We start from the raw sequence: 20115 nt of genomic DNA on the forward strand, positions 1-20115 counted from the left end.
CGCCTGTAATCCTAGCACTTTGGGAGGCCAAGGTGGGCAGATCGCTTGAGCCCAGGAGTTCAAGACCACCCTGGCCAACATGGTGAAACCTTATCTCTACAAAAAACATACCAAAAAAATGAGTTGGGCATGGGGGTGGGTGCCTGTAGTCCCAGCTACTCAGGAGGCTGAGGTGGGAGGATCACTCGAGCCTGGGAGCCCGAGGTTGCAGTGAGATGAGATCATGCCACTGCACTCCAGCCTTGGGTGACAGAGTGAGACCCTATCTCAAAAAAAAAAAAAAAAAAAAAAGATGAGGAGGCCTAGAAGTACGTACCCACCAACAGAAGCTCCTTACTCACAGAAGCCTGAAGGGCTGTTCCTTCATTCCCTACAGCCATCACAGCACAGGGCACCAGGCAGTTTTTCTTTACACCTTCCTTATAGTGAAATCAACCCTGCTCCTCTCCCGGAGATCTGGGAAGTGTGCAAGTCTCTGGATGCTCACACAGCAGTTAAATCCAGAGAGAAAAGCTATTTCAGGGAAAGGCATTTACCATATGCAGACGCAATCAGACATACTTTAATGGAATGTAAACTCCAGTCAGGAGTGATTGTAGTTTTTCAAAAAGAAGATTAGAATCAAGATTGGTTAGCAAATCAGAAATACCCAGTTATCTCTCGTTTTCTTTCCTGAAATCTCTCTAAGAAAAACAGCAAATTGATTTGAAAAGGCTTTCACATACAGGATATAGCCAGAGAAGAAAAAGATGAAATCTGAGCGGGGTATGCAGGAGGCTTTCACCATCACCCAGAACGAAGGTAACTAGGCAGGCTCCACTGTGCTGCATATCAGTTCAAATCTGCTTGATAAAAACCTATTGAACTAAATAATGAATGAAAATTTAGGGGAGAATTTGCCCCTCCCTCAGTAAACATAATTATCAATATAGTGGTTAAAAAGTATGTCCACTTAGGCCGGGCGCGGTGGCTCACGCCTGTAATCCCAGCACTTTGGGAGGCTGAGGCACCTAAGGTTGGGAATTGGAGACCAGCCTGACCAACATGAAGAAACCCTGTCTCTACTAAAAATACAAAATTAGCCGGGCATGGTGGTGCATGCCTGTAATCCCAGCTACTCGGGAGGCTAAGGCAGGAGAATCATTTGAACCCGGGAGGCAGAAGTTGCGGGGAGCCGAGATCGTGCCATTGCACTCTAGCCTGGGCAACAAGAGCAAAACTCCATCTCAAAAAAAAAGTATGTCCACTTTATCCAAGCATAGAATGTGTACATTAAACAGACAAAAAGCTTGATACTGCCAATTTGTATAAACTGTCTTTGGTTAAACTTATCAATTGATTGTAGGGCATTCAATTATAAACACACATATTCAGTATTCATGCATTTGATTTTAAGTGTATAACATATGAGAACACGCCAGGCTTGGTGGCTCACACCTGTAATCCCAGCACTTTGGGAGGCCAAGGTGGGCGGATCACCTGAGGTCAGGAGTTTGAGACCAGCCTGGCCAACACTTTGGTGAAACCCTGTCTCTACTAAAAATACAAAAATTAGCCAGGCGTGGTGGCTCATGCCTGTAATCCCAGCTACTCAGGACGCCAAAGGAGGAGAATCACTTGAACCTGGGAGGTGGAGATTGCAGTGAGCGGAGATCGCGCCACTGCACTCCAGCCTGGGTGACAGAATGAGATCCATCTCAACATATGGGCATGAGATTCAGGTGTGTCCTTATTTCAGCCCAAGTAGACTGAGGTATCCCTCAAAAGTAGACCCAAGCAGACTGAGATATCCACCAAATCATCAACCTGATCATATTTTAAATCTCAAAATAACAGTAGCCAACCACAAATAAATGGTCAAGCTTTCCACCTGTAGACCTTCAACATCACAGCTTAAACCCAACAACTATTAAATTTACTATTTCAGGTCAAGCTGCTATGCTAAACAGTCTCATTTCCTAATAAGAAAAAGATACGAACTAGAATAGGAACTGTGATTTAAAGGCTACAGGGATGCAGAGCATGGCCATCCCATCTAGTCTGGAAAACTAGGAAATGACGCAGCAATATCTAACCAAATCTGTAGGCAAAGCTTACTGTGCAGAGTGACAGAGCAGAGTTACAGAATCCATGAAAGCACCAGGCCACTCCTACTCCGGCCTGCACAGGTAGGCAAGGGCTGAAAATCACTAGTTATGGTTAGTGTAGTTAACAGAAGGCCAGCGGAGTCATGAAAATGTTCAAAAGTAAAACTGTCCAAGAAAATCAGACATTCCCATCTCCATGTTTTTATATGTCCAAAATTTCTATTCTGACTTAAATCCTAAATGTAATTGATCCAATTTGGAAACTACTACAAAAAGCTCACCCCTCAATTTTTTGCCATTTTATTGAGTTATCTTTCTCAATCAGGTTAATTCCCAACGCTCTAAGCCATACATTGTATGTAATGCATGAACTTCTTCCCCTTTTGTCTGGGTAGTGTCAGTTATGTGGAGGTGGTACTAGTTATTTGCATAACTAGTACCTTGGGGGACCTGAGAAAACAGTCATTCATATTCAGTGTGACATAATACATATATGGTACTAACAAGAAAGAGTATTTTTTATTTGCTAGTGGCACAATTTCAACCCATATCTAAGCACAGCCTCCAGGCAATGTTCAAACCTGAGATAAGATTCAATTCCCCACAGGGGCTTTACGGTGTGACATATGCAGAAAACGTCATTTTAGTGCTAAAAGTGAGGCAATATTCCAGAAAACAGAGGAAAGGGACAAGAAACAGATTAAAAGCAAAACACGTTTAAATATTAATGAGAACAATGCTACCGATGTCCATGAAATTTTGTGCAGTACTGCACTGTGAAGCTAAGCCCATTTCCAAAAACAGCTGAATGGAAAGATCTATTGTTCCCTTTACAGCAAGGCAGCAGACTTTTTACAGAGATTAATTGACTGGCCCAAGTCACAAGGTAGGTGACAGAGTGGGCTGAACACGTAACCACCATCCTAAGCACTGGGTCAAAAAAAACAAAGGCTGACTGTCAACTGAAATTTAAAAGACGCAAAGACCATCAGTCGGGTGCCCAAGTTGGTGAATGATGCAACCAACTGACAGAAGATGGAGAGGGAAAAGGGCAGTTTTTGTAAATTTGGGGACATCTGACAAAAAGCTGATGACACAGGTGGGAGTTTTTTGTTTGGGATTTTTTTTTTTTTTTCTTAAGACAGGGTCTTGCTTTGTCACCCAGACTGGAGTGCAATGGCTCAATCATAGCTCACTGTAGCTTCAAACTCCGGGGCTCAAGTGAACCTCCCGGGATCAAGTGACCCTCCCGCCTCACCCTCCAGAGTAGCTGGGACTACAGGCGCGTGCCACCACGCCGACCTAAGTGTTTTTTTTGTTTTGTTTTTTGTAGAGAGGGGTCTAGCTATGTTGCCCAGGCTGGTCTCCATCTCCTGGGCTCAAAGCTGTCCTTCCTCCTAGGCCTCCCAGAGTGCAGGGATTACAGGCATAAGCCACCGCTCCCGGCCCGCCACAGCTGTCTCTCCTGGTTCACGGTCACCCAAACGCCGGCTCGAAGTGTGGGAGAGGAGGTTGGGGGCGACCCCAGGTGGGCACTGCTGGCGTCCGGCTGTCAATCCACAGCTCACGTCCTCACAGGTGCGCGCCTAGAGTCACGCGTCCAGCACCGCCCGGCTGGCCGGGAAGAGGCGACCGGGTCCGTGGTCCGAGTCCCGCACCTCCGGCCTCTCTCTGGGCCCCGGGGCAACAGCCCCTCCCGGGCCGCACAGGCCGCACTGAGGGCGCCACTCCGGGGCTCCCGAACTCCCGGGCTCCCGGCGGGGACGAGGCGCAGGGACGGGGGCACTTCCGGCTCGCGGGGCCCGGGTCGCCCGCCCGCCCGACCCGCCCACCTGGCTGTCGCTGACGCAGAAGACGCGGCCGCCACGGCTCAGGCACACGCGGGCGCCCGGGGGCTGCGCGGCCGCGCCGCAGAAGGTGAAGGAACAGCGCGAGGCACGCAGCCGCCGCACCGTGGCGCGCACGAGCTCAGCCGGCCGGCGACCCCAGCGCGCCCACAGGTACAGGTAGCACAGCGTGATGAGCATGGCCGCGCCGCCGGCAGGGCGAGCCCGCCTTGCCCGCCCGCCCCAGCGCCCCAGGCCCGGCCCCGCCCCGGCCGGAAGGGCCGCGCCGCCCCCCCGGGCCAGGCGGCGCGGGGGTGGGGACGGCGGGGGAGGCGGGGACCCGGAAGGTGACGCGGGCAACTGGAGGCTGCGGCGGGAGGGGCGGGGGGGGGTGAGGCCGCGCCCGGCTGTGTGATGGGGAGCTCCGGAGGCCGCGCCCAGGGCTGGTGGCGGCGGCGAGGGGCAGCGCTGGGGCGGGGGGTGTGCACCGGGGTCAGGGGACGCCGGGGCTGCACCCGGAGAGGGGGCTCGAGGGAGTGGAGGCCGGGGTGCGGGGCCGCGCCAGGGCTGAGGAGTGGGATGGGTATGTTGTGGATGCGGGGGAGGGGAGGCTCCAGTGGCTGCCCGACCTGTTTAAGCCAAGTCCGGCCTCCCTTCCTTGGAGGGGTGGGAGGCGGATTGAGGAGGGGGCTCTGCCTATGTTCATAGCTGCCAAGGCCAACCTTTACTAACCAGCAGCACACCGGGAGTCCCAGAGCGCTCCACAGCCGCTACCCAGTCGACTTGGGAAAATAAGATAAGGCCGTTTTTATTAAATTATACTAAGCCTTCATGCAAAAGATTTTAAGGTCAATCACATACATTCACGGGATGCAATAATGTTTTTTTAAATAAGGACAGGAAACAGAAATTGAAGACAGATAAGCACCAAGAAGGCTGCCTCTAAAAAGGCTGTGCCAGGAAGGCTCCCTATGGTGTTCTTGCTACATGTGGGTCAACAGTTTGACTGTAAGCATCCTAACACCAGTGGGAAAAGGAAAACATCACCATGATTTGGTGTTCTTGTCTCCAAGGGAAGCATAATTAGTCCTGACACAGAGGCTTCTCCCATAGAACCTCATTTCTTTAAAAGGCATTATGTAAAGAACGTGTTCTGAACAGCTGCGAAGCACAGCAAAGAATTCCATCCAGTGGCTTCCTATTCTGGCCCTCGCTGAAAATAGGTGGCAAGATGCAGCAAAAGCAATCATGTACACCACGTCCATGTCTTAATCTAAGGATAGTTTTTGTTTGTTTGTTTTTGAGACAGTCTCTCTCTGTCACCCAGGCTGGAGTGCAGTGGTGCAATCTCGGCTCACTGCAAGCTCTGCCTCCTGGGTTCAAGCGATTCTCCTGCCTCAGCCTCCCGAGTAGCTGGGATTACAGGTGCCCGTCACCATGCCTGGCTAACTTTTGTATTTTTAGTAGAGACAGGGTTTCACCACGTTGGCCAGGGTGGTCTCGAACTCCTGACCTCAGGTGATCCACCCGCCTCTGCCTCCCAAAGTGCTGGGATTACAGGCGTGAACCACCGCGCCCAGCTAGGATAGATTTTTTTTAAGAGACAAGGTTTCGTTCTGTCGCCCAGGCTGGAGTGCCGTGGCATAATCACAGCTCTCTGCAGCTTCGAACTCTGAGCTGAAGTGATCTTCCTGGCCACCATGCCCAGCTAATTTTTTAGAAATTATTTTTCATAGAGACAGGGTCTCGCTGTGTCGCCCAGGCTGGTCTCAAACTCCTGGTCTCGAGCAGTCAAACTCCTGCCTGGATCTCCCAAAGTGCTGGGATTACAAGTTTGAGCCATGGCGCCTAGCCATAAAGATAGATTTTTAAAGTACCTTGGCCATTTGTTCATCTGCTTTAATATAGCTGCATAGAACACCCACTCCCAGAACTTCAGACTTTTGGTTAGATAACATAGTATATTTTCCCCCTTGCATATAGCGATAGATTTTTAAAAGAGAGAAAATCCAAAAAGAAATAACTGGGCTTAAAAGCAAGCATCTCTGTGGACCAGAAATAGAAGAAAAACAAAGTGATAAACAGGACTAAAGCCATATCCTACACTTCTCTACAGGACAGTGGCAGCCGGAAAGTGGGTTCCTGCATGGTAACAAGACCTTAAAATTGTGTCACTGGAGAAGGACGTGCAGTTCCCGCTGAGGAGAGACTTGGCCACTCCAGGACAACACAGGACTACAAGTCAGGAATTTGAAGATGAAAAGTGCTCAACAGTGATAAATCCTAAATGTTTCACTGAACAACCTTTCAGATAGCCTTCTTGAAGTTTGCTGAATTATGGCTATAAGGACCACTCCCCACCCCTGCTAGGTATGGAGAGGTCATCTCCTCTATCTGAAGGTGACCAACATCTCCAGTTTTTCCAAATTCCCTAAGGGTTTTGAGACCACACCTTCCCACAGGTACTCTAACTCCACCTGGCCAATAGGAATTTTCTAGGTTTACCCTTAGGTGTTTCGAGATATGGTCTCAGAATACATCATGGGAAAATTACATTTTGGGGTCAATCCTGTATACCAATTCTAGGTTAAAAGCATGGGGACCACCATGGTTCAACATGAGCTGACCCTTGCATTGAAGAGTACTGATACCATTCATGCCTGGGGAAGGAATAGAGGGAGGAAGATATGAAGGGCACAGTGAGAAGTGAAACAGTCACATAACAAGCTCTGTTTATGATCCCGCCCTAAAATGATTTCATTTTGCAAAGGTCAAGGATAGAGTTGAGTTTCATCACCCCTATATAACAAAGGAATAGGGGAAGGATGCAAAAATAATACACCAAGGGATATTAATGTGTATGCACCTGATCCTCATCCTGTAGTCCCTCACTGCTCAAAGTGTGGTCCTTAGAGCAGCAGCAGCAGCATCACTTGGAAGCTCGCAAGAAAAGCGGAATCCTAGGCCCCACCCAACCCCAAATCAGCGTCTGCATTTTGACAAAATCCCAGGAGACTCACAAACACATTAAAGTTAGAGAAGCACTGCTAACATCTTCCTCTGTCATTCCCTGGGTCTGGGCTACTCTAGACTCTAATAAGACATTTCCAAAATGATGTGGAAAATAAGACCACAGACTAGGGATTTTTTTTTTTTTTTTTAGATGAAGTCTCACTTGCCCAGGTTGGAGTGCAGCGCGATCTCAGCTCACTGCAACGTCCGCCTCCCAAGTTCAAGTGATTCTCCTGCCTCAGCCTCCCGAGTAGCTGGGATTACAAGCACATGCCACCACACCTGGCTAATTTGTGTATTTTTAGTAGAGATGGGGTTTCACCATGTTGGCCAGGCTGGTCTCAAACTCCTAACCTCAGGTGATCGTCCCACCTCAGCCTCCCAACGTGCTGGGATTACAGGCGTGAGCCACCGCGCCCGGTCAGACTAGGGATTTAGAAGCAAGACTTTGTCATTTATAAGAACACTGCAGAAAGGAACAAGAATGACCCAGCTAGCCACTGAAGACCACCTCTGAAACCCATCAACATGACCGGCTTTCTATAGGAAAAGTCTCCACAGACTCAAAAAGTCTCTAGTTTCTTGCCCTTAGGAAGGCATGCCCTGGGAATAATAGTTTGGGGACAAGAGAGAGTAGAGTGTTTACTGTCCTATCCCCCATTAAATACATGGCAGAACTTCCCCAGGGAAAGCCTATCATACTGACATTAACTCAGTACCTGTTTGAACTTGGAGAGCATTCAGAATTCTCATCAGTCAAATGGCCAGAGCTGAGAAGGATAGCTTGTTTTGTTTGTTTTTGAGACAGGGTCTTGCTATGTCACCCAGGCTGGAGGGCAGTGGTGCAATCCCGACTCACTGCAGCCTCGACCTCGTGGGCTCAAGCAATCCTCCCTCCTCAGTTTCCCAAAGTGTTGGGATTACAGGCATGAGCCACCACACCTGGCTAATTTTTGTATTTTTTGTAGAGACAAGGTTTTACCCTGTTGCCCAGGCTGGTTTCCAACTCCTGAGCTCAAGCCATCTGCCCACCTTAGCCTCCCAAAGTTGTGGGATTACAGGCACATGCCACCACACCTGGCTAATTTTTATATTTTTTTGTAGAGACAGGATTTTGCCATGTTGCCCAGGCTTGTCTCGAACTCCTGGATTCAAGCAATCTACCCGCCTCGGCCTCCCAAAGTACCGGGATTACAAGCGTGAGCCACCGTGCCCAGCCTGGGATACTTTCTAAGAACCAAGGAACTATGTAGAAAATCTTCGCCGGGCACAGTGGCTCACGCCTATAATCCCAGCACTTTGGGAGGCCAAGATGGGCAGATCACGAGGTCAGGAGATCGAGACCATCCTGGCTAACACAGTGAAACCCCGTCTCTATTAAAAAATACAAAAAAGTTAGCCAGGCGTGGTGGCGGGCGCCTGTAATCCCAGCTACTGAGGAGGCTGAGGCAGGAGAATGGCGTGAACCCAGGAGGCGGAGCTTGTAGTGAGCCAAGATTGCGCCACTGCACTCCAGCCTGGGCGACAGAGCAAGACTCCATCTCAAAAAAAAAAAAAGAAAGAAAAGAAAATCTTGATCTCTATTCAGTAACTTTAATACGTATATTAACATGTTCTTGTTTTTGGAACAATCGTCAAATCAAGCAAAAAGTAATTTTATTTTGTTAATCAAAATAAAGAGAAAAGTAGACAATATTTAGAGCATCAAAAGAATTTAAATTAGAACATCTTTAACTATTGGAAATATGCATTTGAACTCATGTCTTTAAGAGGAAAATAATTATCTTTCCTAGCTCTTTCACTGAGATGGCCTCAGAGTAGCCTTACCCCAAGATGCACCTGAGTGCTCAGATTCTTGAATGGGTGCTCTTCTCCTCATTACAAGGAACTAGAAATCCTTGGAGAAATCACTGATTCTGGTGTTCAAGAGATACCAGATAAGCTGGAACATCTTATGCTAGGAAGCAGGAGAAGCTTCAAAGAAAAATAGGTCCAGGCAGAAGGATGCAGGAGACAAGCTAGAAGTGCCAAATCAGGACGATTTGAGTATCAAATTGAAATACACCCAATTATGAAGGTACCCAATTTTCAAGAGCCGGCTGGGCGCGGTGGCTCACACCTGTAATCCTACCACTCTGGGAGACTGAGGCGGGCAGATCACCTGAAATCAAGAGTTCAAGACCAGCCTGGGCAACATGGCGAAACCCCATCTCTACTAAAAATACAAAACTTAGCCAGGCGCAGTGGCATACACCTGCAGTCCCACCTACTCAGGAGGCTGAGCCAGGAGAATCACTTGAACCCAGGAGACAGAGGTTGCAGTGAGCCGAGATTGCACCACTGCACTCAAGCCTGGGTGACAGAAAAAGACTCCATCTCAAAAAAAAAAAAAAAAATGAAGAGCCATGAAATCCATGGTTATCCTCAATAAAATTTAAATATTCGAAAAGAATGTAGGATAAAATGTGTTACTGCTGAGTCTCGTTATTTGGTTATGTTTGTATTGATTCATTTGTTGTATTGATAAAGATTAGTAGGTGGCAAATTCTTCCTTTAGAAGGTTGTTTGTGACCCAAGAGGGCATCAATACAAAGACCCTAAAGCTGGGATTCCGAAGCACAGAGTCGCGGGAGAGAACCAAAGCTCATCGCATCTGGTTTAAGACTCCTTCAGAGTTGGATCAGCCTAAAAACAGGACATGGTACAAGATTTTATTCATTCCAAAGATTGTAAAAATTAAATTCATCCTGAGAATTTATCAGTCTATGTGGGAGCTACAGACTTCTATGAGCAAGCAGAGGTAAGTAATGTTCTAACTTCAACTAAAAGAGGCTAAGAGATCATCTTCCTTCTTTTGAATTTAATTTTTTTATTATTATTTTAAAAGACAGGGTCTTGCCCTACCACCCAGGCTGCTCTTGAACCCCTAACCTCAAGCTGTCCTCCTGCCTCAGCCTCCCAAAGCATTGGGATTACAGGCATGTGTCGTGCCTGGCCTCACCCTCCTTGAGATTTCAGAATTGTTGACAGAATGACAATAAGTAGGATTCACTGTCTCCTTAAAGACTGAGGAAAGAAACCCAGTGAAACCTCTGATGGACAATGGCCTCAGTTAACTAGGACAGTAACTGTACAGTATCCATCTCCTAATCCAGTAAAACTGAGTTACATATAGAAAGGCTTGAAAGAAGCAAAGCCATAGATTTATATTTCTGTATTAATAAGGAATCTATGCATATTTTTGGTCTTATATATACTTGAAGTGTGTTAGAGTATGTGGCTGTTTTAAGTACATTCTTATAACTAATTTGAAATGGGTACTTCTATATTGAAATCTTACTGAGTTTATGAATAGTATTGAAACATCTAAGGGAATATTATTAGGTTTGCCATATTAATATACTGAATCTGCTAGATTGATAAGAATTACATAATCAGGCCACTGAAATGTATAAAAAGGAAATTTAATTTAAAAAGGACTTGGGGGCAGACACAGTGGCTCATGCCTGTAATCCCAACAGTTTGGGAGGCCAAAGTGGGAGGATCATTTGAGTCCAGAAGTTCATGACCAGCGTGGGCAACACAGGGAAACCCCATCTCTATGAAAAAAAAAACAAAACATTTTTTTAAATTAGCCAAGCATGGTGGTGCATGCCTGTGGTGACAGCTTCTCGGGAGGCTGAGGTAGGAGGATCACTTGAGCCCAGAAGGTCAAGGCTTCAGTGAGCTGTGATCGCACCACTGGTCTCCAGCCTCAGCGACAGAGAAAGACCCTGTCTTTTTTTTTTTTTTTTTTTTTTTTTAGCAGCTCTGGAATGAGAATAGGTATTTGTAACACACATAACTGATAAAGGATTCATATCTAGAATATACAAAGAACTCCAAATCAATGAGGAAAAGTCAGAAAACCAAAAAAGGAGGACAGCTAAAGCTGAAAAAGCACTTCAAAAACAGACTGTACCCAGCTGTCTGATAAATATGAAAAAGTATGCAGTCTCAAAGTAGGTCCAAATTAAGACCTTCATGAGAATTGGTATACACCCATCGGTTTGGCAGAAATCCCCTTCTCAAGCCCTGGAATTCTGGGCTCTACCCCCATTGCTCAAAGATCTGACCATTTTCCATTTCCATCCCTTCCATCTTTCTGCAGTACCTGGCATTCCTGACCATGCTATTTCTACCAATCAACAAAAACTACTAGATACTCAGAGGGGATTTAATACAGAGAGCTGGCTACAACATGACAAAACACCAGACAAGGGAGGGCACTGTGGCTCATGCCTGTAATCCCGGCACTTCGGGAGGCCAAGGCGGGTGGATCACCTGAGGTCAGGAGTTTGAGATCAGCTAGCCAACATGGTGAAACCCCGTCTCTACTAAAAATACAAAAAATTAGCCGGGCATGGTGGCAGGCACCTGTAATCCCAGCTACTTGGGAGGCTGAGGCAGGAGAATCGCTTGAACCTGGGAGGCGGAGGTTGCAGTGAGCCAAGATCATGCCCTTGCACTCCAGCCTGGGCAACAAGAGTGAAACTCCGTCTGAAATAAATAAATAAATAAACAAACGGACACACACCACAGAAGGGACAGTGAGGCAACCCAGGGAATAGAAAGAGCAGAAGCCGCGACCCTCTGTAGGGCTGAGGGCACACAACACAGGTCAAGTTACCGTCGCCCGGGATCCAGGGTCCCCTGGTGGAAGCTGGAACCCACAGATCAGTGCTGTGGGAGATGGAGCCACAGAGAAACAACTGCTGCTGGAGACATCAGCAGGGGAAGAAGGCGGAAAAATACTGTAGCCGCTCCACACCTCCAGCCCAACGCCCCATGGCGGAACTTCACTAGAGGCCCCACGGCAGAAGAGCCTCCAGGAACCTCCTTGTGGACCAGAGGAGAGAGATAGAGAGGCGGCAGGAGGCAAGGGTGTGTCTAAGACAAACAGGCCACAGCCAGCCCCTGGCCTTCCTGAAACTCCTCCCTTGGGTTCTTTTAAAATTCAATATTCTGCTTCTGTTCCAGGGTTAATGGGCTGAACTGTGTCCCCCCAAATTCTAATGTTGAAGTTCTAACCCCCAGTACCTCAGAATGGGACTGCATCAGGAGACAGGTACTTTAAAATAGTCATTAAGGTAAAATGAGGTCACCACCTAATCTGTTATGACTGGTATCCTTATAAGGATAAAATAGTCATTAAGGTGAAATGAGGTCATCACCTAATCTGTTATGACTGGTATCCTTATAAGGAGAGGAGACTAGACACAGACATGCACAGGGGGACAATCCTGTAAGGACAAAGGGAGAAGACAGCCATCTCCAAGCCAAGGAGAGAGGCCTCAGGAGAAACCAACCCCGCCCACACCTTCATCTTGGACTTCTAGCTTCCAGAACTGGGGAAATGAATTTCTGTTGTTGAAGCCCCAGTCTGCAATACTTAGTTATAGCAGCCCTTGCGAACCAGCACATCCAAGTTCTCCGTCTCTGTCTCTAACCCCTCTCTCAACTGTCGGCCATAAGTGAGCCTCTGCCCCCAACTTCTGGCCTCCTCTATGTTCTCTTCCTTGGTGACCTCTGGCAGTGACGCTCAGTCCTCATGGCCAGCTCTGGCCTCTCCCAGGCTCTGGCGCCGCAATCATCTCTTCCACTTGTCTCTGCTTGGATAGTCTGTCAGCATCTCAAAGGCAACATGAATAAAACCAAATGCATTTTTTCCTCCCACAAATTATCTCTTTATCCTGATTTCTCTTATCTCTGTTCATGACTTGTTCACCTTTTCACTAGGACCCAGAATTCATGCATCTTGGAGTCCCAACTTCTCCAGCCCCTGTGTCTTGTTTATTTCCATAGCAGTTGGTAGGCGGGACCTCTGCACAGTCTCACATGGTCCCTTCTTTCTAGTCCAGGCCCAGCTCAGCCCTCACCAGAACAGGCACTAGCACGACAGCCTGCTGGATGATTCCCGGTGCCCGTCCCCTGTTTCCCACGGTTCTGCCTCATCCAGCACACTCTGCACTTGACTGCCTAAAGCACAGCGCTCATCCCATCACTCCTGCTTCTCAAACTCCTGCAGTGCCTGCCCCCACCCCAGAAAGTGCAGGCAGTCTTGCCTGGCATTCAAGACCTTCCACTGAGCCTAAGCAACATAGTGAGACCCCATCTCTACAAAAAATTTAAAAATTAGCCAGGCATGGTGGCACGTGCCTATAGCCCCAGCTACTTGGGAGGCTGAGGCGGGAGAACTGCTGGAGCCCGGGAGTTCCAGGATGTAGTGATCCATGTTCATACCACTGCACTCCAGCCTGGGCAACAGAAGAGACCCCATCTCTAAAAAGAAAAGAAAAAGACCTTCCATTGGACCCACCTAACCGGGTCTCCCTCATTGGCAGCCATTCACTTATTCCACGTTCATTCTGCACCTCCTGCACACGAGGTGCTATGCCAATTACTGGATACATTTAATCCCTCAACAACTCTGCATGGTGACCATTATTGTCCCCATCTTGCAAAGGAAGAAACTGAATTTTAGAACAGTTGAATTTTAGAACTTGAGCTCCCATAATTAGGTGGGGAAACTGATGTTTGAATTTGTGTCCTTTTGGCCCCAAAGTCCTTCTCTGGATAAACTAGGCAACCAAGAGCAAAGAATGCTCTATACCCGACAAAAATAGAAATGAAACTCAAGATCCAAGACGCAAGAGTGGCAGAAGGTTCAAGGTGCACCACTGCCAGCCCTGACAGCCTTTGTATCCAGGTCAGTTGAACAGGCCGGGATTGTCCCCAACTTGGACACATCTAAAAAGCTGCAGGTGGGATGTCATCAAAATCACCTGGGAAAACAACCTGCTCTGAAAACAGAGGCATGATCCAAAAGACAAAGAGGTTTGTGATACCCTTTCTGTACAATAGCTGACTATCAGTAAGTCATTACTGTTTTAAGGAAGTCAGTCACACACACACACACACGCATACACACACAGAAAAATACAAGTTAGCTGGGCGTGGTGGTGTGCACCTGCAATCCCAGCTACTCGGGAGGCTGAGGCAGCAGAATCATTTGAACCCGGGAGGCAGAGGTTGCAGTGATCCAAGATTGCATCACTACACTCCAGCCTGGGCAACAGAGCCAGACTGTCTCAAAAAATAAATAACAATAATAATAATAATGTTGCACCAATGTCAGTTTTGGTAAATCCATGGTTGTGTAAGATGTTAGCATTAGAGGAAGCTGGGTGAAGTTTCAAAGAACTCTCTGTACTATTTCTCTTTTGTAAGCCTAAAATTATTTCAAAATAATAGGTGATAAAAATTAGAAGGTGACATTCCACTGAATTTCATCAGCACTCCTTTTTTCCCCTCTTCCGAACCAGCCATGTGATCTTAAGCAAATTATCTCATCTCTCTAGGTCACAGTTTTTCAACTTAGGAAAAAAAAAGAGGGACACAAGCCAGATCATCTCTAACTTCCCCTCCATCTCTCAAATTCTGTGGTCCTCGTACATTTACAATATGATGCAATCTACAAACATTTGATATTGGTGCTCTCTTATTCACCTTCATATCCCTGGTATTTAGCATTGTGCCTATACATAGTAGGTGCTCACTGAAAGTTTTTGCAACTACCTCAAAAACTGAGGTTCATACCTCAGTTTGTAAAGTGACGTAGAACTGCTAGCTCTTTTACCTAGTTGACCACTAGAGAGCGAAGCGGTCACAAATTTTTTCTCTGTTAAAAGCAAATTTATCTTCGTCCAGCAGAGGGGAGTGGTCCTTTATATTTCAGGCATGTAAAAATCAGGTCCTGGTTGGGCGAAGGGAGAAATCTGTGAGCAGTTTCCTGCCTATCAGACAGGCCCTCCAGAGGGGTGATCAGTACCATAAGCTTCCAGGTAAGCACATGGGGCCACTGCCCCCACCCTCCAAAACACCCTCAAAAGTCTAAACCACCTCAATGGATGGGAGATTGCTCTGCAAATGGGGGAGCCCCACTCCTAATATGTTCATCATTGTCTTCCTAACAATCGTGACTCATTTCTTGAACAAATGTTTCACTTTTAAAGGGTTTGCACAGAGGCAGCTTTAAGAGGTCAAATAAATGAATGTGGAAAGAAATTAAAACTTTTACAACCACATGAAAAAGGCATTAGCCAGTCATCCTGCCCAGCAGCCCAATATTGAGCCTGTGTGAGTTGCCGTTTGTGTAGTGAAGCAATAGAGGCCATGGTCTGGAATCAGAAACCCTGGGTTCAGATACTGCCTCTGACCCCCCAACTCCCCAACAAAATGCACACATTCAGTGGCCATGTGACCAGGGCAAATGCCTCTCGTTCCACAGCTCCAATGCAGGAATAATAATAGCATCCACCTGGTGTGGGTGGGCGGGTTCACAGAGAACAGCCACACAGGCTAAGAGTGCAGACTATTGTGACCCAGCAACTGCCCACCTGGGCAGAGTGAACAGGAAGGGAATAGAAGGGCAACGCGCTTTCACTTCATCCTCATGAGCGCTCTTCGTGGGGAAACTATTACACAAAGTCGGGGTGGGGAGTTCCTTCCCAGTAAATCGAGTTGCCTTTTTCAGGCACGGAAAAGCCCATCTGCCTGAATTTTCCTCAACTGGTCAATCATGGTGCCAGAAATCCCAACCACTTGAAGTGCTCCTTCAGGTTAAGTTACTTTATCTGCCAACTGTGTTAGTTTAAACAAGTCAGTTTCCAAGTCCTACGCTGCTGCTTTTATCATCCCATTAATTTATAAAACTAAGAATAGGGGCCAAACGCGGTGGTTCATGCCTGTAATCCCAGCACTTTGGGAGATCAAGGCGGGTGGATCACCTGAGGTCAGGAGTTCGAGACCAGCCTGGCCAACATGGTGAAACCCCATCTCTACTAAAAATACAAAAAATTAGCCAGGCATGGTGGTGCAACGTAGTCCCAGCTGCTCAGGAGGCTGAGGCAAGAGAATCACTTGAATCCAGGAAACAGAGGTTGCAGTGAGCCAAGATTGTGCCACTGCACTCCAGCCTGGGCGACAGAGCAAGACTCCCACCTCAAACAAAAAAAAAAAAAGAAAATTAAGAATAGGACCCCACAGTGTGGGAAGGAGGCTGGAAGCGTCCTGATTAAACTGCAGCCTGAGGACTGCTGGGTGGGATCCTGTAGAGCACACTGAGCCCTGAGAAGGGGGCAAGAAGAGCCCCAGGGTGCAAGGCCAGAGACTAGCTGGGGCAGAGAAGAGTGCGAAGCTGGCAGGACTGAAGGGTCGGGAGACCCTTAAAGAGACCCTGTAGCAGACGCCTTGGGAATGTACGTGTCACCGAGCAAAGCACATGAAGAGAACTGTTCAACAGCGGACTCAGCTGGGAACTCCAGACACTGCGGCAAAACCAGCACAGATGCATCCTCTCCTGTGGCTAAAAGCTCCATGAGGGGCCAGTGAGTCACATGACAACCGAATTTCTCCTCTGCCAATCTGAACATATTCTGGGACTGAGACTTCCGTACTCAGGGAAAACCAATCACACTGCTTAAAAGAAAAAAAAATTGGCCAGGTGCGGTGGCTCACGCCTGTAATCCCAGCACTTTGGGAGGCTGAGGCGGGCAGATCATGAGGTCAGGAGATTGAGACCATCCTGGCTAACACAGTGAAACCCCGTCTCTACTAAAAATTCAAAAAAAAATTAGCCGGGCATGATGGCGGGCGCCTGTAGTCCCAGCTACTGGGGAGGCTGAGGCAGGAGAATAGCATGAACCCAGGAGGCGGAGCTTGCAGTGAGCCAAGATCGCGCCACTGCCCTCCAGGCCTGGGTGACAGAGCAAGACTCAGTCTCAAAAAAAAAAAAAAAAGAAAGAAAGAAAAAAACTACCTATTATAAACCCTTGATGCTATAAATTTAATGGAGCTGGAAATAAATTCCCTGGAAAGACTATGGTGGGAGAAGGGGGGCATTACCTTCATCCGTTTACATTCTCCAGCCATGGGAACTAGCTCCTTTGTTTTCACTGAATTTATGTTTCTATAGAGGCACCCAGGATTGAGTCTCCTATAGGGGGGTCCCATGAAGCTGCCATGCCCCTCTGTTGATACACCTTGCTTTGCAGGTCAATTTGTGATTTTTAAAATGGTTTTATGCAAACGACATGTTTAGCCCAAATGCACTGCAGGTAGCTGGTGATAAAACAGCAATACGGACCAGGCACAGTGGCTCACACCTATAATGCCAGCACTTTGAGAGGCCAAAGCAGAAGGATCACTTCAGGCCAGGAGTTTGAGACCGGTCTTTGCAACATAGGGAGACTCCATCTGTACAGAAAATTAAAAATTAGCCAGGCGGCCAGGTGTGGTGGCTCACGCCTGTAATCCTAACACTTTGGGAGGCAAAAGCGGGCAAATCACTTGAACTCAAGTTCAAGACCAGCCTGGGCAACATGGTGAAACCACATCTCTACAAAAGTAAAGAAAATTAGCCAGGCATGGTGGTGTGTGCCTGTAGTTCCAGCTACTCCTGGGGAGGTCGAGGCTGCAGTGAGCCGCAATCACGCCACTTGTACTCCAGCCTGGGCGACAGAGCAAGTCCCCATCTCAAAAAAAAAAAAAAAAAAAAAAAAAAAAGGCTGGGTGTGGTGGTCCCAGATACTCAGAGGCTGAAAAGGGAGGATTGCTTGAGCCCAGGAGTTCAAGGCTGCAGTGAGCTGCGATCACATCAATGCACTCCATCCAGCCTGAGCAATGGAGTGAGACCCTGACTATATTTAAAAAAAAAAAAAATAGGAAGAAACAACTCAACCACAGGGCTAGTATGTTACTCGGTTATAAAATGATAAAGCCCTAAACAGAGAATTAGCCCGTTTCCAGAAGAGGCCAAGAACAGATGATACAGCTGAACTGAACTCCTGCCTGTACAGCTCGTTTTCTACAAGATTCCAGACCTGGAAGATGATGGCATCCAGCCCCCATTGAAGCACCTCGAACAAGAAAAACGCCGAGTCCGAAGAGCCAGGCCTTGAACACACGATTCCTGTCTATAAATAACTCCCCCTGGGGAATAAAAAGCAGGATCCAAGGCAGGAAACCCGAGCCGTGGAATCTGGTAAGTTCTTAGGAAACCCACTCACGGGCCTGAGTCCCCCGTGGAAGCGGCGACTTCGGCACCTGGACACCCGAGTCCCCAGAGCCCCGGGCGGCCGCGCGTCCCTACCTGCAGGCCTGATACCGGCCGCGGAGCGCTCCTGGCCCCGCTCCCGCCAGGCTCCGGGACCGCTGAAACGCACCCAGGGGGGTGAAGGCGTAGTCGCCAAGGACAGCGCAGATGGCAGCGGAGGCATGGGAGCCGGAACCTACCGTGGCAAAGGGCCAGGTCGGGACGCCCCTCGGCGCAGCCCCAAATCCTGCCCGCGCCCCAGCCCCGCTCAGGCCGCGCCCCTGCCACCTCTGGCCACACGGGCTGAGACGTCTGGCTCCTGCACAGCGCACTTCCCGCTGCCCTTCTCCACTGGCTGCTCAGGCCCTGCCTCGCCAGCACGGCATCCGCGGGGGATCCCTACCTGTCCTTTAGGGCTTGCCTCATAGGTCAAACGTCACCTCCCAGGGAGGTATGGCCTGCCCCCTGGCCAGGTGGGCCCCTTCCACGCTCGCCTGCAACACCACCCACCCACCTTGATAACTGCTTGTAAAGGTTGTACTGCTTTCCCCCTTGAGACTGCAAACCTTCAAGGGCAGGAAATGGGTCTGTTTTCCTGGCAAAATAATGAAGTTGGCTTAAGGTTTTGCTGAATAAAATGAGTGACAGACAAAAGTAGCCAAATTTGGCACTCCTGATGGGTTATTTGATGAAGGAGGTGCAATGTATGGGCTTAACTAGTTATTCTGGATTTCTTTCCCCATGTTACTCCTCCCTAATTCTGATGAGGAACTGAGAGCTGAATCTATTAATCTATTAACTCTTAACCTTCCTTTTTTTTTTTTTTTTTTTTTTTGAGACGGAGTCTCACTCTGTCACCCAGCCTGGAGTGCAGTGGCACGATCTTGGCTCACTATAACCTCCGCCTCCCAGGTTCAAGTGATTCTCCTGCCTCAGCCTCTTAAGTATTGGGATTACAGGCGCCCGCCACCATGTCCAGATAATTTTTGTATTTTTAGTAGAGACAGTGTTTCACCATGTTGGCCAGGCTAGTCTCAAACTCCTGACCTCAGGTGATCCACCCACCTCAGCCTCCCAAAGTGCTGGGGTTACAGCTGTAAGCCACTGCATCCGGCCTTAACCTTCCTTTTCTAAAGGCACTACCAGACTTCTCCTGCTACCCTAAGGATGGAGTCCTAATTCTGCCACTGGAACCCTGAATGCTTCACTTTCAGCACAAAAATTTCAAGCAAAGACTTGCAGCCTCTCCTTCTCAGTTTAGGGGAATGGGGGAATTCTTTAATCTGTGGTGGGACACACATGATGTTAATTAGAATACTCTCTCCCAAAGAGGAGGAAATAAATAGGAAAATGAATCAAGTCTGATGCCCGGGAAGTGTTTATGGATGTTGTGCAGAATAGCCCTACCACAAAGAAAATTTCAAATGAGACATCCTATCACTGCTGGGGTTTCTCATAACACAAGAGCTGAGGCTAGGTATGGTTGTTTTTTTTTTCTTGCTTTATAAGAATATTATTCAATAAGCAGATTTCCAAGCCTTGCATTCTTTCTATTCAATGTTTCTAAGATTCACACATACAATTTCGCAAAGCTGCATTTTATTCATGTTCACTGCTATCTAATATTCTATTTGTGATCATATCCTACTTTGTTTAGCCATTCTCCTGGGGATCAACATGGGGTTATCTCCAGTTTGTTTCCTCTAACAAATAATATTGTTCTGAACATCCACTCGTCTCCTGGAGCCCCTGGGCAAGCATTTCTCTGGGTGTGGACCCATTACTACACCAGGCATACGTCCAGCAAGCTAATTAATGTGCAGAATTAAGAGATAATGCTAAACTGTTTTCCAAAGCAGTTATACCAATGTACACTCCCATTAAAAGTGACTTTTGTTTTTGACTCGGTATTTTTCAGGTCAAACACATTTTCCTTTCAATTTTAGATTTATACTGATTTTCACAAACTGTCTTGGAGAATTATGAGGTCCTCAAACACAAAGCTTCATATTGTGGTTCTTAGTCAAGAAAATCTCCTAGAGGCAATGATCCAGCT

The 20115-nt window shown here is 47.7% G+C and overlaps 1 protein-coding gene and 1 long non-coding RNA gene across 16 annotated transcripts in view, besides 6 other annotated features; one reads left to right on the plus strand and one right to left on the minus strand.

The window, feature by feature from the left end:
• Window positions 1-20115, minus strand: part of HLCS (holocarboxylase synthetase) — a 241587-nt gene that overhangs the window by 213900 nt on the left and 7572 nt on the right. For 5 of the 15 annotated variants that reach the window (NM_001352514.2, NM_001242784.3, XM_047440753.1 and 2 more), the window contains exon 1: window positions 3920-4145. The exons of 5 other annotated variants lie outside the window; for them this stretch is intronic. In NM_001352514.2, the coding sequence (NP_001339443.1) occupies window positions 3920-4114 (195 nt within the window). In that variant the 5' untranslated portion in view covers window positions 4115-4145. Of the gene's footprint in view, window positions 1-341; window positions 3869-3919; window positions 4146-18116; window positions 18471-20115 lie in introns of those variants that run through there. 5 more of the 15 variants (NR_148021.1, NM_001352517.1, NM_001242785.2 and 2 more) reach the window with 3 other exon arrangements.
• Window positions 3498-3547: an enhancer, noted in NCBI's record as "active region_18441". NCBI's record gives its function as "activates an Ori minimal core promoter by ATAC-STARR-seq in GM12878 lymphoblastoid cells {active_cell/tissue: GM12878}" and the evidence as "EXISTENCE:reporter gene assay evidence [ECO:0000049][PMID:35858748]".
• Window positions 3607-3937: a silencer, noted in NCBI's record as "fragment chr21:38338431-38338761 (GRCh37/hg19 assembly coordinates)". NCBI's record gives its function as "represses an EF-1alpha promoter that drives an FKBP-Casp9 reporter gene in an ReSE screen in K562 erythroleukemia cells {active_cell/tissue: K562}" and the evidence as "EXISTENCE:reporter gene assay evidence [ECO:0000049][PMID:32094911]".
• Window positions 3607-3987: a biological region, named in NCBI's record as "ReSE screen-validated silencer GRCh37_chr21:38338431-38338761".
• Window positions 3658-3987: a silencer, noted in NCBI's record as "silent region_13290". NCBI's record gives its function as "represses an Ori minimal core promoter by ATAC-STARR-seq in GM12878 lymphoblastoid cells {active_cell/tissue: GM12878}" and the evidence as "EXISTENCE:reporter gene assay evidence [ECO:0000049][PMID:35858748]".
• HLCS-AS1 (HLCS antisense RNA 1) lies at window positions 3935-12644 on the plus strand. The gene is made up of 4 exons (NR_186434.1): window positions 3935-4087; window positions 6030-6283; window positions 9483-9725; window positions 11076-12644. It is a non-coding gene; the product is annotated as an HLCS antisense RNA 1 (long non-coding RNA).
• Window positions 4058-4527: a silencer, noted in NCBI's record as "silent region_13291". NCBI's record gives its function as "represses an Ori minimal core promoter by ATAC-STARR-seq in GM12878 lymphoblastoid cells {active_cell/tissue: GM12878}" and the evidence as "EXISTENCE:reporter gene assay evidence [ECO:0000049][PMID:35858748]".
• Window positions 18102-18161: a silencer, noted in NCBI's record as "silent region_13292". NCBI's record gives its function as "represses an Ori minimal core promoter by ATAC-STARR-seq in GM12878 lymphoblastoid cells {active_cell/tissue: GM12878}" and the evidence as "EXISTENCE:reporter gene assay evidence [ECO:0000049][PMID:35858748]".

The sequence above is a fragment of the Homo sapiens genome, chromosome 21, assembly GCF_000001405.40.
Source record: "Homo sapiens chromosome 21, GRCh38.p14 Primary Assembly".
Classification (NCBI taxonomy): domain Eukaryota; kingdom Metazoa; phylum Chordata; class Mammalia; order Primates; family Hominidae; genus Homo; species Homo sapiens.